At 35.1% G+C, this 18,805-nt stretch overlaps 1 protein-coding gene across 4 annotated transcripts in view; it reads left to right on the top strand.

Moving 5' to 3' along the window:
- OLFM3 (olfactomedin 3) overlaps window positions 1-18,805 on the top strand; it is a 194,367-nt gene that overhangs the window by 28,457 nt on the left and 147,105 nt on the right. For 2 of the 4 annotated variants that reach the window (NR_110210.2, NM_001288823.2), the window contains exon 2: window positions 890-950. The exons of the other annotated variants lie outside the window; for them this stretch is intronic. The gene's annotated coding sequence lies outside the window, so the exon portion shown is untranslated. The remainder of the gene's footprint in view (window positions 1-889; window positions 951-18,805) is intronic. 4 annotated transcript variants of the gene reach the window in all.

Raw genomic sequence — 18,805 nt, 5'->3', positions numbered from 1 at the left:
TAAGATCCAGAATTGAAAATAGTGCTACACATCATCTACACTATGGACTAAACATGATTCTGTGGGTTAATTGGAAAACCTAAGCTCACTTTGGAAAATGATTTCTGTGAAAGCTATCTTCTCTGACTTGGAAATCTCTTGCAACATAATTCTTTATGGTGTGAAGTTTTCTTCTGGATGAGGAGAGCAATTGTAAAAAGGATGTGATGGGACCATTCAAACTAGTGCCAAATGCATCATGTAGGTAGAGAAGCTATGAACTCATAGGATTAGGAGATTTTTAAAATATGTGGACTCACACAAAGTTATGTGCTGTTCATTCTAGTACTCAGGCTTAGGGTGACTAGGCAGAATGGTAAGCCACTCGTTTTGTTGCCTCAGCTGCCTTGTTAAAACCAATGCATCATGGAACTACTGTTAGGTCAAGAAAATAAACCAACTGGCTAGGTGGCTTCCTGAAACTTGAAACTTCCAAAAGGAGAAGTTAAGGGTTTTCTTCGTATGTTTGATCCAAAAATAACAGGCAACCAACCTTTCAGGACAAGAGTCGGTGGTAAAAGGGAAAATAATGAGAGTGGGTGCTGGGGGCGGAAGAATACTCTGAAGAATGCCTGCACATACCACCTCCCCCAACTCCTCTAAAGGAAAAAAAGTTAGTTTGTACCATTCCTGTTTCTCAGGATACGTCAGGGTAAAGAAACACAGTCCAGGGTCGGGAGGTGGTCTGCACCTCCATGGTATGACTGTATAACACAATTCCCAAACCAATTTCTTTTTCCGCTGATAAGTTTTCCCACTTTCAGACCATGTCCTTAAAATGATTGGTGTTCATTCCTTTCGTCTTCCAGTTATTCCTTTTTTTTTTTTTTTTTTTTTTTTCACTGACTAGGATGGAAGTAAAAAGGCAGGACCTCGAGCAGTCACCTTGGATCCCAAAATGAAAGTGTTATGTAAGTGGTTAGCAGAACCCTTTGTGACCAGCCCTGAATAATTGATCTTTTGACTGTTACATAAGGGAAAAATCAACTTCTGCCTTTCTTAAGCCATTGTTTTTTATGTTACTTTTTTTCTTTTTTTGCTACAGCAGCTTAGACTGCATTCCAACACAGTAAAGTTGAAGGCAAATCACTTATAGCCACAGGGGTCATGGTATTTGTTTTTTTTGTTTTTTGGCCAAAATGAAATGAGAAATTGTCAGAGTTTTGAATAGGGAAGACATTTAAGGGTAGACATGAGTACGCAGTTGGACTACAACTCAGAAATATAAACAAGAAGCCCAAATTACTGAGTGATTTAAATATAGATATAGTATATTGAAATCCTGGTGTGTATTAGATCCTAAAAGAGATAGGTAGTATAAAAGATAAAAAGGTGAAGGTCAATATACAGCCTGGAGGAAGTTTAATATAAATAGCAACTGGTGGAGGTTAATGAGCAAACATGACAAAAGAAACAATCAGAGAAGTAGAGAAATAAAATGCTAATGAAACAACCACATTTGCCCTAATTTCTATAGTAGATATTCAGAATATTTCCCTTCAGGAAGCTTACATTGTACTTATTTTTTTATATCTGAATTTTATCCAACTCTCAGATATAAGAAATATATCAAACCCAAACTGCTAACAATAAAAAAGGAAAAGTATTTTAAATACACATAGACCCTTCAAAATTCAGAAAGACCATATCAGTGTATTAACTAGAAAAAGGAGAACGCCAAGCCAGGATCTCAGTAAAGACCTCCAGATGCTTTGGTAAGTGTCAAATAGAATGTTAGGGCTTACTTTCTCTTCCCTAGCTCTAACTGATTGGTTTTCTGTCATCTCGTACATTTTCCTAACACTAGATCAGCACATAACATGAAAACATTTTCCCACAAGCTAAGCCATTTACATTTTAGTAAGTGGATACTTATCAATCAGTGCGCTGGAAGGGAACAAATGGCAAATTCGAACAAAGAACTTTAATAAAGGATTCATTTACCAAAGTATGAGAAGGACCCGACACAGTGGCTCACGCCTGTAATCCCAGCCCTTTGGGAGGCCAAGGCAAGTGGCTCTCTTGAGTGCAGGAATTTGAGACCAGCCTGAGCAACACAGTAAGACCTTATCTGTAGCGCACACACACACACACACACACACACACACACACAAATTAGCCAGGTGTGGTGCCAGCTACTCAGGAGGCTGAGACACAAGGATACCTTGAGCCTGGGAGACCAAAGCTGCAGTGAGCTATGATTGCACCACTTCACTTCAGCAGGGCAAGACCCTGGCTCAAAAATGAATAAAGTAATAAATAAAAATAAAAAAGAAAAATAAAAAACATATGAGAAGGTTAAAGAAAATCAACAAGAAATGTTACAGTACCATGGGGCTAATAGCAGAAGAGAACAACTGCTATCCCAAGCCTAATGAAAGAAGAGGAGTTAGCTATCTAAACTGGAGAGGCATACACACCTTGGAAAGGCTCATGCGAAATAAACTAGGACTTTGGGCAAAGGCCGAGAATGAAGGGAATAAATATATGGACTTCATTTTCCTCCTGTCTTTGATGTTCTACCAGTATCTCCCATTTACCAAATATAACCAAAAGGCAATGATCAGCCCCTTTCCCTGCAAACACATTGCAGGAGGTGAAGGGTGAAGAATGGATCTGGAGGTGCAAATTGAAAATATATGACTCTTCAGTACATAAAATATATGCCTCTTCAGAATATATTCAGAAAATATATAACCTCTTCATTTGGTTATAGTAGAATGGGTACTATAAATAAATGTGTTGTGTTATTTGAACTAATGACAAAGTAGAGTAAATTGAACCTATGAACAATATCTTAGCTTTTCCCTGGAATGAGATATTTATGGTTCTTGGTTTGATACCCAGTGACTCTAAACTCTACATAAAGACATAGGACATCTGGGCTTGTACGTTTCTGCCAGATGGTGTGGGATGTTCAAAGATCTGGATAGCTAATTTTACACAATAACTGCTTCTAATAGGAGTTTTATATTGAAACCTCTGACATTCTTTTACCAGCAGTTGTACTGCCAAGTCTGGCTACAATAAATGTGCATGACTTAATAGCTAATTCTCCAGAAATATCACATTTTTTTCCTTCCTTCGAAATCTTTGTCCTATTCTGCAGCCCGCATTTTAATTCTACAACATTTTATTCTTCTTTTGATTATTTTCTGCCCTGAAGGTTAGTTCCCGTTAGCCTGGGGGTTTATATACTATTGTGCATTTATTCAGGTTATTTGAAGTTAATTTTTGCCAAAAATAACAAAAGCACTGTTACTGAGGAAATTCCAGTGGCTCCTTCTGTATTTTCCTGGGGTCCTTTAGTACCCTTTAAACAATGTTGCTCTCTCCTAAAAGAGTTGCTGTCGGTGCTATTTTCTTTGCTTTTAAACTTCATCACAGTTTAAAGAGGTTTGAATGATCTTCCCTCTTTAAGCCAGAACATAGACTTGAGTTTCTTATACTGACTAATTTGCTGTCACAGAAATGCTTCTTTATACTTTACCCACATGACAGGACATACCCTCAAATAAATGAGAGAGGTTATGGCAAAATGCCAGTTCCCTTGAAGCACTGCCTTTCATCTAACCCAGTTTCTACTTTCTTCCCTTGGTTTGTACCAACTTGTTTAAAATAAAAATGGATTTCTCCTGTATACTTTCATGCTGATATTCTTGTATGGAGTTTTACTTTCTTTAACTCAGAATTAAATGAACACTTGTTGAAAGAATCTACTTGCAAGGAGTGAAGAACAAAATTCCCAGGTCCCTTTCTTCATGATTGTGAGGTGAAAATAGCAATAACTTTGATAGTTTAAACAATAATTTCTTTTTTTTCCCTAAAAATAAAGTTTAGAAAGTAAAAACTGCTTGATAATGGTGAAGATCCATTTAAAGTCCTACATAGCTAATCAACAGAAACACGAGGCTTTATTGCTGAATATTTTAAAACACACTGCACTTTCAATTGAATTTTTTACTCTCAGTCTGTCTCTTATAAATTTGCAAAAACATATTCTATTCTCAATTAATGTATTTTCCACTGAAAATTCTTCAAAATCCCATTATCCAAAAGATAAACTGCAAACCCTTTGTTGTGGTATATAAAACCCGTATGCTGTTTTCTAATCTCATTTCTTGCCTTTTTCATTCTACCATACACTCCAGCAATATTCAACGTTTCCCAACATGCTTTTCCTCCCACCCCCATGTTTTAGTACTTGCTGTTCTCTTGGCCATGCTTCCCTTAAACTTTCTTCCACATACATATACAACCACCATCACCACCTACAATCTGCTTCAAGACTAATTTAGGAATCTCTTCTATAAAGCTTTGCTCAGTGTTAACTGAACTGAGAAGAAAATCAATGATCAGACATATCAATGAAAGTGAAAGCTGTGCAATATAAGCATAAAGTTTATTTTCACTACTATTTGTTGAATATCCATATGCCCCAGGCACTGCACTAGTTACTGTGATATTAACATGAATAAGGAGAGTCCATGCCTTCTAGCACATGGTTATCTTTGGTGGAAAAGACTCATTTGTAAATCAGTATTTACAATACATTTAATAACTGTTATGTTGACAGTGTAAAAGAAAAAAAAACAAAACCTAAAATGAAACTCTTCTTTTCCTCACTTTGAACAGATAATGGGGTAGATTTCCAGTCCCATATGAGGAATTTATTAAAGGGTTGAATGTAAATGTCCCCCCAGCTCTTTTGGTCTCCTTATCAAAACCAATGATATAAAAAGGATAGAAAGGAATTCACAAAGAGGTGAAATGAAACTTGTTTGCATCTCTTGGATCTCTCATTAAACTCAAAGACAAGTGGTCTGAGAGATTTTTTTTTTAAAGAGAAAGAAACAAAAATGATGGAGACATTTCTCCTAAAAGAGTCAAGCCAGGCTGTAAGTCTCTGTAAGTCTCAGCCTCCTCACCCCAGATGCCTGTGGTGCTACCTTCTGATACAAATCTTAGTGAAGAGGGCTTCAAAAGAACCATTTGCAGAACTTTGAAGTGGATTTTCTGCAATTAGACACATAAAACTTATACTGGACCCAGTCAAAGTTTACTGCAGTCAGGGGTTACCCTCCCACCTGAAAAGAATTTAGAGGTCAAGGGAAAAGCTGATTTTCTGCTTTGGAAGCAGAACAAGGAGAGTGATCATGGAGGTGCCTGTACTCCTCGAGTTTGTCAGGAAAAGAAATAAGTAAGAATTTCCCACACACCATGGGTGGCAATGGGGGAGTAATGCATAACGAGGGCTCTGAGTCCTGCCCAATAGGGCGACCCAGAAGCATTGAAGAGACCCCAGCAGAATGAATCTGAAGGTGTGGTGCCAGGTGTCCAGTGCGAGAAAGGAGCTCCATTCTGCACATGGTGCATCTACTAGTATCAACTGAACTGTAGGAAAGAGAGCCCACTAGGGAATTCGTGAAAATCCCGAAAAGTTACACAATGAAATGGTTAGCTTCAATTAACTGAACACCACATAGGGTTGCCAAATTTAACTAGCAGCCCAATGAACATAATAATATTCAAGCAAGTAAGAACTGGCTTTTCCACGTCTGCTCCTCTCTATACACCACCCTGGACCATCAACTTTGGCAGTGAGTTAACTATTAAGGAAAAGCAGAGACAAACAGGTTGAAATGATAAAGAAAACTACAAGTAATGCTCCAGGTTTTTCAGTTTGAAGCCAGACTGAGATGAAAGAGGAAGAATATTTAACACAGAATATTTTCTGTTCTTTGATTATTATAAGGGACAAGATAATTTCTTAATCAAGACTATGTTTGTTTTTTGAAGTAATTTTAAAGCTGTTAGTTTGATCAAAATGTAAAAAGCCATGGAACCTCCTAGAGTTTTCACTGGGAGCCAGAGAAACTCACCCCATTGGATACATTATCAAGGATCAATAAAAATCAAAAAGAAAGTTGCATTTGGTCATAATCCATGCATCATTTGTACTCAACAATCCAGTTAGAGAATAAAGCTCAATTCTCTAAAAAATATCATAGGTGATTTTTTTCTTTTATTTGGTGTTTCTGTATTTTATAAAGGAAAAGGAACAAAAAGCCCACTTTACTATAACTTACATTAATTAATCTCATCAACATCCCCACTAGAAGGAAGGAGTTTTGCTAGGTACTCCAGATTGAAGGGGGTGGGATGTATAATATTCAGGCAACACTCCATACAGGTTTATTGCATTGAATTGCAGAACTCCACGAAGTTTATAATCCCTACAGTTCTATCCATCACCCCTTCTTTTTACAACACTGAACTCCCAAAAAGAAAAAGGTGCTGATAACTAATGAGCAGTGACTAACAGTAAACTTTTAATTTAGCTTCACTAAACACCTCTACACCTATTACACGGCAAGCGGAAATTGTTCTTAAAAAAATTGAGTAATTTGAAGATTTTGGTGAATAAAATGAAAAATGTTGACAGAAGTGTTAACAGATGAAAAGGAAACTGTTGTGGGTGGTAGAAAAGATAGCTAGAAGAGAGGAAAGGAAGCTAAGTAGCTGAACCCTGAGATCTTCTCAGAACTCTCTGTACCCTTCAAGGTACACATTGCTATATGGTTTTCTTTCTTTCGATTTTTTTAACATACTAGCTCTGTGTAACTTACCTCTTGTGAAAACTTCATGTCCAGTGTCCTGAATAACTTCATAAGTTATATCTTTCAGTCATGAAAACATATTGGTTATCTTGCGACCTATTCTGATAATTTGCTTATTTCTAATGCATAGTCTCTCCTCGCTGTCTGCAGTAAATCGCTATCTCCTCTGTTTTGAAATACTACAAGATTAGAAATCAGAACAATATTGATGACTTTTTATTATATAAGTCCTTTAGTCTGTCAAGGATCTGTATCATTAGGAAAGGGATTTCTATAGGTGTTTTCTATCTCTAACTTAATTTTATTTACTAGACTTAAATATTTTTAAAAAGTTTTTAATAAAAAATATCTCTACTCTTTTTCACTAACAAAAAAGGCTTTAAATGTGGTATATAATAAGTTCTAGGAATGAAATATAAAATGCAAAATTTGATAGATTACTAAATACAGTATCTATTTTAAATATGTTACTATAATTTACAAATGACTTTGATCATCTTGTTTACTGAACTTAAATTTTCCATTTACAAATTAAATGTAACATTATATATAATTACAAATTAGTTTCTCTTTCAGCTTTTATGTGCAACAATCTATCATTAACTTCTTGAGAAATTTACAAAAGTCATTAATCCTCTAAAAATATACTTCTGATAAATTTTTATTTTCCCCATTATCTTTTCTTACCAGTTCTATAGATAAGCATTCCTATGGTAAATTGCCATATCTAAAAAGACATCTCCTAGAGCCATTGAACATTTACATATGTTATCCAAATAGTCTCATCATAGTCTCTAAATCAGAATTTTCTTTCTGTTCAACTTATTCTTAAGCTTAAGACTTATTTAAGTACTAAACACTCAAAATGTTAGAACTATTATGATCATATGTGTTTTTTATAAGTAGATGAATAAATGGACCATCTTAGAAGTCAGTGAACTTTCTATCTCTGTAAGAATTGAAGCAGAGTGGTTAACGATGGATGCTATTGTGAGGTTTTTCTCAGTTGGACTAGCAGAACTCTAGAGTTCTAGTTAACTCTAATCCTTTCTGTCTGTAGAGGGGTTGAGATACCCTGACTGAAGATATTATAAAGCCTAAGAATGTGCCAATCAAAAGAGAGAGTGGTCAGTCATCTATAAATATAAAATGAGAATTAATAAGGCAATTTGGCAATACTCACCCAAGAACTACACAGGGCTAAGAGTACTCTGTTAGGACAACATAGCCAGACTGCTCTGTTGCAATATATCTTCTGTAACACTAGGTAGCTCATATGATTGGCAAATACAGCAATAATGCTAGTAGAACAGAAATGTTGTATGGTTTTATAGATAATTTCTTCTAGGCAAGTGGAGCTGGAATAGTGAGAGTGAAATTATAATGAGCCCTTGACCTAGATTACCCTCTGCAGGTCTCCTCACTCCCTGCCTTGCTCTAAGCTCCCGGCATGTTGCAGTCACTGCAGAGTGCATCTAAAGAGCAGTCACAATGCGTCTGAGTTCTGCTGTCTTCTGCATTGTCCCAGTGCTTAAAAGTCAGTATTTCCACTCAATTGCTTTCAGCCTTTATAATATTTCATGGTGCAAACCCCAGCTATCTTGACCTCTCTTTCCAAGTTATTCAAGTAATCTCTCTAGGTACCAACCACTGTTTTTGCTAGTGCTTTTGGTACACAATTACATAGGTTTTGCCCCAGCCCCGTTTCCTCCATAAGCCTCGTAATTTTATTTTTAGTACATAGTTTTGCAGAATACAGGGTTTTTCAAGAATGCAAGTGTCGTGTTGCAAAAGAAACACTTTTATCCTCTATAGAGAGACTTAAGGATACAGACAGTGGTATTATTCGTGTTATATGATGAGGCATTCTTACACAGATTATTTTCTGATAATTAGGGGTCAGTATAAAGAAAATATTTAATCCATTTGCCATATTTCTCGTGGGAAATTATAAATTTGCATTTTTATTATGTATGCCACTTTCTTGTGAGTTTGGTTGACATATCAGCAACCTGCAGTTAAGTCATGTCCAATCACTAACAGATTCTGAACTTGAAGGAACTTACATAGATTAATGCTGCCTTATACGGTCTTGACTCAGCAGCTATCTAGCCTCATTGGAGATTGAGTCACCTTTCTGTCTTGCCCTGCAGCCTTTTTAAAAGTCTAATTTCAGTATTGCAACCCAACGGCAACAGATCTAAATTCAAATTTAAAGATCTCTCTAAGACTAATTTTCTGCATTAAGAACTGATAATATCCAAATACCCATTGCATAAGGTTGTTGTAGATGTTTTTTAAGCCGAGCACAGTGCATGTCATGTAGAAGTGCTTGATGAGGGATACCTGTTATTATCAAGATTCACAGTGAACAATGCACTCAAGTTGTGGGCCAGTCTTTTCTCATCCTTATGCCTCCAAATTCAACAGAGCTTTAGAAAGTGAAAGTAAAAAAGTTAAAAAAAAAAAAAAAGGAGGGGAGGAAAGAAGAATCTGTTGACATTTTAGAAATATGTATTTTTCCAAAGTCTAGGACCTATCTTGTTTGGCTTTATATTTTTATCACCTTTAACATATTCAACAATAAAACATTATTCTGTAATATTGAAAACTAGGATGCAGTATAAATGATATGCCTGCATGCATTGCAGCCTCACATGCAGTTTATAGGTAGTCCAGAACACCTCCTGGTCAAAAGTTTTGTAACTATTTTATCTAAAATTGTTTTCTAACACCAGGGGCTAAGACCGGGGTGGGAAGCGGGGAATGGGGAGATGTTGGTCAAAGGGTACAAAGTTTTAGTTAGGAGGAATAAGTTCTGCAAATCTATTGTACAGCATGGTGACTATAGTTAATAATGTATACTTGAAAATTGCTAAGAAACTAGATTTTAAATGTTTTCACCACAAAATATAAGTATGTGAGGTAACAGATATGCCAATTACATTAATCATATATATATATATATATATATAATATCACTTTGTATACCATAAGAACATACAAGTTTCATTTGTCAACTGAAAATAAATAAACTTTTAAAAATAAAGTCATTTAAGAGACTATACCCACTCTATTTGAGAGGAAAAAAAAATCACTTTAACTCAAGAATCCACTCTCATGTTCATACATTTTATACAGGAAATTATTCTTGTGTCTTCTCCAAATCCGCTTTTCATCGCCTGATTGGAGATCACAAACACCTCTACATTCTAAAATTAAGATGATAAAAAGCATGCATATTCTGAAGAAACTTACGATGCAGCTAATCTGTATGCTCTGCTAGTCCCCAAATCTACAATGTGGTATTGTAGACAGAACTCTCAAATAGTGGAATAATGTTGACTTCAACACTAATAAATTATATGAATTGGGAATAGCATTAGACATTTCTGAGCCTATTTTCTCCTAGTAGAACAGGATCAATAACATCAGTCATACCTACTGCCTCACAGTGTAGAAAAGAACAACTGAAATGACTTAGTTGAAAAGGTATGATGGGCTAAATAATGAAGAATCTGTAAGATTCTAATATTGCAAAGATTTTTAAATGTGAAATTTAATAAAAACTTTCAAGCTAATAAAAACAGTGGACACAATTAATATGTAATTCAAAACTTCAGTACTGAGTAAAGCATATAATGTGGCTTTTTTCCTGCTATGCCTTTAAAAGTTTCAATGTTTCAGGGAAATTGGGTTAGCTATTACAGGCTCAGTAATTAGAGACAGAATAGGTGATATAAGCCATTCACTTGCCAATGTCTTCAGAATGCAGTAGCAACTCTACAGCTCATTCATTTAGCCACATAAATCATAGCACAATCCACAGTTGCTGCACCTCTTTCTGCTGTGCACTCACATTTTGCTCTGATTGTCAGTTAAATGCAGGCATTATGTTATCACCCTCCCTATCCCTTGGGATATTTTCAGAATTAAATCCACTTAGGAAGAAAGTATTGTCTACAGTTTCTCTAATTTCCATTCTCACTTCCTTATTATTGCTAGATATCTGATGCTTGGAATTGGTTATTTGTCAATTTTAATAGTCTCTAACCTTTTAAGAAGCCACACTGTTACTCTCTTACTTCCTAATTATTCAGCCTCTTCCCAGAGAGACCTCACTTATGTAACATCTAGTCTTTATAATTTTCTTAAATTTCAAGGAAGAAAAAGAAAGCACATGTAACTTAGCAGTTATTTAATTCCTGTGCAATAACCAATCATGCACATTATTATTTCAGTCACATTTGGCTATGAAATTAGCAACATTTAGATTTTTAGGTGATGTTTTAACTGAAAATTGTGTTGTGTCCCTTTCCATTTCTCTTGATTTTGCCTTCCAAATATCTTTTGTCTTTCCAGCTTTTTCCCATTTTTGCCATCCCATCCTAATCCAAAACACCAGCAGCACAAATTGGTTTAGGGATAGTGAGCTAAAGGTGGATAATTAAAAAGTAAGTAAAATATAAATTGACTTGTAGAGTTTTTGGCTAATGAAAGAAGGGGAAGAAAAGGACAAAATGTCAAACAATCACAAAATCCCCACACATTGGGATTAAGCCATATAGATATGAGACTGACTCCAAAAGTCAAAAAGTGTATCTCTCATCATAGCCCTTCCCAAATGATGTCTTTAAAACCATAGCTATGTAATTGGTTTTATTTGGCCTCTCAATGAACATTGAATACCAAGAGAGGTCTTGTGGAACTAAAAGAAAGATTGAGACTTTAGCATTCCTGAGTTTTTCTCTGATGATTCTCCTTTGATATTATCAAGTTATCTTATCCAAAGTTTGATCTACAGCCACTTTTTTTTTATTGTTTCTGCTATTAGAGATCCTAGGATGGACATTCTCTATCTTGGAGGAGTTCGTGATCTGATTAGGAAGATAGAGGAGTAATAAAGCATTAGTTATTATATCATGTCATAATATATGGACACAGAGTTAAGACAGTCAAAAACCAAATAGATGCAAAAGATACCATCTCTCTTTCTTTCATTCCCTATAGATTATGTTTGGGGAAATCTGTCCAGTTGTAGTTACATGTTTTTATTTTTTACTAAATGTTCAAAACAGACATTTGAAGAACTACTAAGTGCTATTCAAAATATCAAGCTTTCCATTGACATTATAGTAAGTCTAGATAAAATGAATAAGCTTATAATAAGCTTATACTTACAGACTCAAAATTTTTAAAGCCAAATTTATATTTAATGTTGAAGGTATTCACTAGCCCATTGAAGGTAGAACTCTGGCAAAGTGTCAAAGAACAAAAAGGATATTTGAATATTGGAAGAGAAATAGATATTTCCTAAGAAGAGAAGGTGAGGGTAGATGGAGTATTACCAGCAAGAAAACAGAATTGAAAAAGGTATGGATTTTTTTAAATAATAGGTGATGTTTGTGGGTCCAGTGGAAAGTATGGTATACCTGGAATCAAAGACAAATGATGACGGGTGGGAATGAATAATAAGAGATGAGACTGGACTAACTCAGTAGATCAGGACATATTATAAAGGCCTTTATGTGGCACATTAGAGGCTTTTTATTTTATTTTATAATCAAATATCTAGAAGAGGATTTTCAGCAGATTTTGTTTTTAGTAAGATTGCTATGGTAGCACTGTAAAGTTTAGACTGGTATAGAAAAATGTTGGTAACAGTGAAGGGAGAAAATTCCAAGAAAATTCTGTAAAGGTTTTTTTTAAAAAAAAAAAAAAAAACCTGTTATTGTGTTGAATTGAGATATGACAGATGCAAGAAAAAATCATAAAGTAAAACTGACAGAATTTGGTGACCAGTAATGTATAAACTGAGAAATAGAATAAAGTAATAACTCTGTGACTTGTAGCTTGATGGTGGATGGTGATGCCATTAACTGAGGTAAAGAATACAAGAATAGGAGTAGACTTTGGAGGTGGTGGTAAAGGGAAAGCATGAAAGTACTCCTTGGTACCCATAGTATTTGAGGAACCTGTGGTATGTGCAATAAGCAATTAGATGTAACTATGTATAGCATTCAAGACTGAAGATATTGATCTGAGAGATATCAACACATTTCAGATAGTTGAAACCATTGGGTAAATGAGATTATTCCAAAATATATATAGTTAGAAGTGAAAATAAGGAACCAAAATGTGTTGAACTTCAACAAGTTAGAAGAAGACTTCAGCAAGGGGAACTGAACACTAATGCCAGAGAGATGAGAAAAAATAGACAGAAGTGAGAATTGTCTTAGAAATCATGGGGCGAAGAAAACTTTAAGAAGTAGAAGATGGATGGGCATTAGCAGTATAAATTTCACATAGAAGTCAAGTAGTGCTGAAAATAGGTTATCGAATATGGTGTTTATGAGGGTGTTTAAAACGCTAAAGTTTTGTCCACAAAAAAGCAAGAAAGGTTAAAGATGTCAAGTAGGCTTGACAATTCATTAAATTCTTACTTTTACAAAGAATTAGATATATCATAATTTGAGTAAGAATAGCCCAGAGTGATAGTGCCTTGGATAAGAATGATTATTTTGTTAAAATGTGATTAATGTCTGTCTCCCAATTCCAGCTGGCATCATGATAATGTTCAGCAAACCTAGGGGGTACCTAAATCCTTCCTTAAATCCAATTACTTCTTTTTCCTCTTTGGATCTCCAATGACGATATAGGTACCATAGTAGAAAAACAGTTTAACATTCTATCTTACAAACTTTCAATGTAGAATTCTAGCATGCCAAAATGAACCATATGGAGAATTTATTTTACATAATACTTCGTCTACTGAAATAGCCTCATAATGAACCAGGTGGTGTGATTGGCTCAGCCTTTCCCTCTCCAGCAGTAAAACTGTTGAAACTGAGTTTGGTGTGCAGAAAGGTTACACATATCCATACACTTAAAATTCTGTGTATTTTGACCCAAAGCATAATTGGGAGGAAGACAATTCTCATAGGAACAACATTGAAAATAGTCATACTTAGCTATCTAACATCACTTGAAAATGTCACTTATTAGCACAATAGCCAATTAAATGTTTTAAATTTTGACTAACCCCAATCACCACTCCTCCTCCTCTAGGATAGAATAAAAGAGGATGGACTTCATTCTTGAGGAAAGGAATTTATTGATAAAACATTAGAAACACTGTTATTTGCCTTTTAATTTACTTTATCTTCAGGTTTAGGTGACACATCTAGTTTGAAATGTTGAAAGTAGAGTTATTACTTTTAGCCAAAAGTTATTATTGACACTCAAGGTGAGTACACCTCTTAGAAGAGCTATGAAATTATCAAAAGCTAAAATTAAAGCTAAATTAAAACATTCTAGGGTACATGTTCATTACAAGCAAGAAACAGTGTGTCATGTTTCTAGAAATAGAATGAAATCCACTTTGATTTCACAATAGTCATATATATCCATCTGTTCTAGCCAACTTTGCACATTTACTCATGTTATTTCTGAAATAAAACTTATAGGTAGAAGAAATTATACATTCCTACATGTAAATTTGAAGTAAATCCTTTTACAATGAAAGTTAACAAGTTAATTTATTTCATTCTGTGACATAAGATAGAAAAGCAATTTGCTTTTGGGTTATAATTCTGTTTAAATTGTTGGGCAATTTGGTCAGTTCTTAATTATAAAAGATATGGTAGTATCATTAAAATAATTTTAAATGGATAATACAAAGGTCATTTTAAATTTATGTTAGAATACATATTTCAATATTGATACTCAGATATGAATCTATACTACAAGTAAACTCCATTTAAAATAAAGTATTAGCACCGTGATTCATAAAGATCAAGAAAATAAATCAGAAATGTGAATAATTTTCCTTACATTCTTAGCTGTCAACCAATGCTTCCTTTCCCCTCAAAGCTTTCCATTAAAGACTCTCCCTCATAACCCAGAATCTGAGCTAGTTGTCTCTTGTTAACATGAATCTATATTTGTCACTCTCTTATCTTTTTTACCCAGGGACTAATACAGCCCGTGCTAAATATGTTGGACACATGGGTCACAGTACCTGCTGGGCCCAGCATCCTGTTCTACCTGCTCACAAAAGTATGTGAAGGGTAAAAATATTAGGTTTATTTTTTGCCCAAAGCTAGTCACTTACTGGACTGAACTAAACATTTGATCTATAGGTTGGATAACACAGCCTGGTCAAAAATACTCTGAACAAACAGGATTAATGGTAATTGGATAAACCAAAAAGTCTGTTTTCTTCTAGAACATGGTTATTACAAAGGGGCTTGCCTGATTCATAGCAAGAAGGGGCAGAAAGGCAGATAAAGAGAAGCAGAGATATCAAGAGAAAACAACATCTAGTGTAGGAGTCTTTAAAATTGTGCTGTAAAGTGCCAAATCATAAATATTTTAGACTTTGTGGACTATACAGTATCTATTGTGACTACTCAACTCTGCCAGTGTAGCACAAAAGCAGGCATGAACAATATGTGAACAAATGAGTGGGGCTGTATTCCAATAAAATTTTATTTACAAAAACAGGTGGAGGGACGAATGCCCACAAGCCAAAGTTTGCCATCTCGGTCCTAGAGTACTGCTGTCCAGTAGAAATACAATGTGAGCCATATATGTAATTTGACATATTCTAGTAGTCACAATAAAAAGTTGAGAATCAGGTGAAATTAAGCTTATTAATAAATTTCATTTAACCCAGTATGTCCGACATGCTATCATTTCAATGTTTCATTAATAAAAATATTGAGAAGTTTTACATTTTTAAATTAATAAGTCTTGGAAACTAGCATGCATTTTTGTACTTTTACTCATGTTATTTCTGAAATAAAACTTAAAGGTAGAATAAAACTTACAGCACCCCACAATTAAGACTAGACACATTTCAAGTGCTGAATAGCCACTGAAGACTAGTGGCTATCATAATGAAATATGCAGCTCCAGACCATGAATGAGATCATGAGAGTAGTCAGTCTCCTGTGATGTCCAGAGTCCTTTTGATTTTTAATTGCAGCAATTTTTTTTTAAAAAAGATAGCTCAGGAAGATCTTGTTACTGTTAGCTCCAAAGCCTTTGTGTGAATAAATAAATGAATGAATGAACAATGGAATGAATGCTCATTGGTAAGTGGTTGTATCATCTCCTGCTATATATATTTTATTTATCTTAGTAGTTTCATTATTTTTAGATAATATTTTTAGAAAAAAGATTTTGTCTTGGATATGTTTATAACTCTATATCTCCTTTATAAACATATGCAATACATATACACATATGCATGTCTTACATATATTTATAATACTACATCTCTTTTTCTTATTTCATCCCAGAGAGATGCAAAAAATCTATTTACTAGCATTGATTCTATTAGTCATTATATATACCATCTACTCACAAAAAATGTTTCTGTTGCTTTAAAATAGATAATTGAGCTTTAAAATAAAATTGTATTCAGTACTAGGTAACTAACACTAAAGATTAAATAACTCTGAGCTTTAAAATATAATTGTATTCAGTACTAGGAAACTAAAACAAAAGAAGATTAAATAACTCAAGGATTCTATAAACTAGCCAAGAAAACCTATATGTAAACAAGTCAGTCCAAAAAAGGAGAAAATAAGAAATTATACTTTCTTTATAGAGGCAGGCTTTCTTGAACTAAGTCCTGAAGGCTGGGTATGTGTTTCCAAGACAAATCAGTTGTTTATGGTGGTAAATAGCAAAGCCAGGGTACAGTTAATAAATAGTGACTTTTGATCAAAAGTACCAGTGAGAAAGTTAATCAGATAGTTAGATAGGTAACTTTTAACTAGCTAAATATTTGGTAATGTTTTTTCAGATCATCTGAAAAACTTTAAATATTTACATATTTTAGTTTTATTTAAAAGAAAAATTATCCCAATCAACACCTTTCCATTTACAATCCACCTTCTTTATAAAGATAGAAAAATTGAAAAAATTCAATATTTGTTTCAGCAGTGGCAATCCTTTCATTATTTGAAACAAAGAAAGTTGAGTTTGAATGGTTTTGCTGATTCAAGCTCAAAACACTCCCTTATCTTAAAGACTGGAATATCTTATAATTTACGATTCTGAATGAAACCTTTATAGATGCAAAATATTTCAAAGTCTATCAAGAATAGTGCATGTTTGCTAAAGAAATGACACCTTTGAAATCTTGAATCTGGCTGACCTTTCCTTTTTTTGGCTTATTCAAGATAAATGGCTACAGAAAATGACTAAGTATTAGGGAAAAAATAGAACCTAAGAACCTTCAGAATTCTGAGGCACTTACAGATGGTAGATCATTTCCTTTCATTACAGGAACCCCTGCCAACATCTGATCATTCCGATGATTAGTTCAAACTAATCATGAATGATTCATTAAGTCAGTCTTCAGTTTATTATGAGGGCTAAGCTACATACACCAGGAATATTGAGATAGGAATGAGACCATTGTGTTTCATTTAACATATTTTGCCAAAAATGTAGGTTGATACTTTGATTTTCCTTTGTATACCACAACATAAACAAACAAACTTCAGTGAAAAATGTTATAAATTATCATACAGCATTCACAATTACTAATTCAAATATTGTGTATTTATCTCATTTGATCTTCCAAAATATATGTTTGTGATGGTCATTAATTTTTGTCAGGTGAAACGGACTCATAAATAAATTAGAATAGGAAAATTCAAGTGCTAAAAATCTGTGCTAATCCAAACAGTTCCTGGCTAGACTGTCAAAGCAATATAAATCATTCATTAAGATTTACTACATGCTCAGGTATCCCCATAGCATATAGTGCCATTTAACCTTAAATAGACCATGTAAGTTAGATTTTCTTTCTTTTTTTGCTAGGCAAATAGAGAAACTGGGACATCGAGAGTTTACATTACTTGCCCATGTTTGCAGTAAGTGGCAGATGTGGAATTCATTTATTTGTTCAATCAATAAGTATTTATTGAGTTCCTTTTCCGAGCTTGGCACTTTTGTAAGGAATATAGCAATGAATAAAGCAGACAAAGCCCTTGTTCTTATAGAGGATACTAGTAGACAGAGATAGTAAATTTTTAAAAATACAGACAAGGCCGCGCGCAATGGCTCACGCCTGTAATCCCAGCACTTTGGGAGGCCGAGGCGGGTGGATCACGAGGTCAGGAGATCAAGACCATCCTGGCTAACACGGTGAAACTCCGTCTCTACTAAAAATACCAAAAAAAAAAATTAGCCGGGAGTGGTGGCAGGCGCTTGTAGTCCCAGCTACTCGGGAGGCTGAGGCAGGAGAATGGCGTGAACCCGGGAGGCGGAGCTTGCAGTGAGCCGAGATGGCGCCACTGCACTCCAGCCTGGGCGACAGAGCGAGACTCCGTCTCAAAAAAAAAAAAAGAAAGAAAGCAGATAAATCTATTACTAGTAATATGGGTGTGGTAAGGTGAGAAATCCACCTACATCAAGGGATAAAGGGTAAAGGGTTCAGCTGGTCTGCGTATTTTATACTCTAAAGTCATGGTTGGCCTCTGTTAAAATGACATTTGAGCAGAAATGTGAAGAAAGCAAGAGGATGGGTGTTCCAGGATGGAGATAGTAAAAGGTTTTAGTGGTGAACCATGTTGGTGAGTTCAAGGAACACCAAAGAGACCAACTTACTTCTAGGCGATTAGAGAGTGATCAGAGATGATATTAAGAAAGTAGCTGAGACCAGATCCCAAATGGCCTTAAATATGGTAAGTAAATTTTAGATTGAATCCTCAGTAAAAACTGCAGCCATCAGAGGCTTTTTCTTTTTTTTTTTTTTTTTTTTTAAGACGGAGTCTCACTCTGTCGCCCAGGCTGGAGTGCAGTGGCACGATCTCGGCTCACTGCAAACTCCGCATCAGAGGCTTTTTTTTTTTTTTTTTCAGACGGAGTCTTGCTCTGTTGCCCAGGCTGGAGTGTGCAGTGGCGCGATCTCGGCTCACTGCAAGCTCCGCCTCCCGGGTTTACGCCATTCTCGTGCCTCAGCCTCCCGAGTAGCTGGGACTACAGGTGCCCACCACGACGCCCGGCTGATTTTTTGTATTTTTAGTAGAGACGGGGTTTCCCCGTGTTAGCCAGGATGGTCTTGATCTCCTGACCTCGTGATCCACCCGCCTCAGCCTCCCAAAGTGCTAGGATTACAGGCGTGA

This window comes from Homo sapiens, chromosome 1 (genome assembly GCF_000001405.40).
Source record: "Homo sapiens chromosome 1, GRCh38.p14 Primary Assembly".
Taxonomy (NCBI): domain Eukaryota; kingdom Metazoa; phylum Chordata; class Mammalia; order Primates; family Hominidae; genus Homo; species Homo sapiens.
This window is presented reverse-complemented; position numbering and strand designations above follow the sequence as displayed.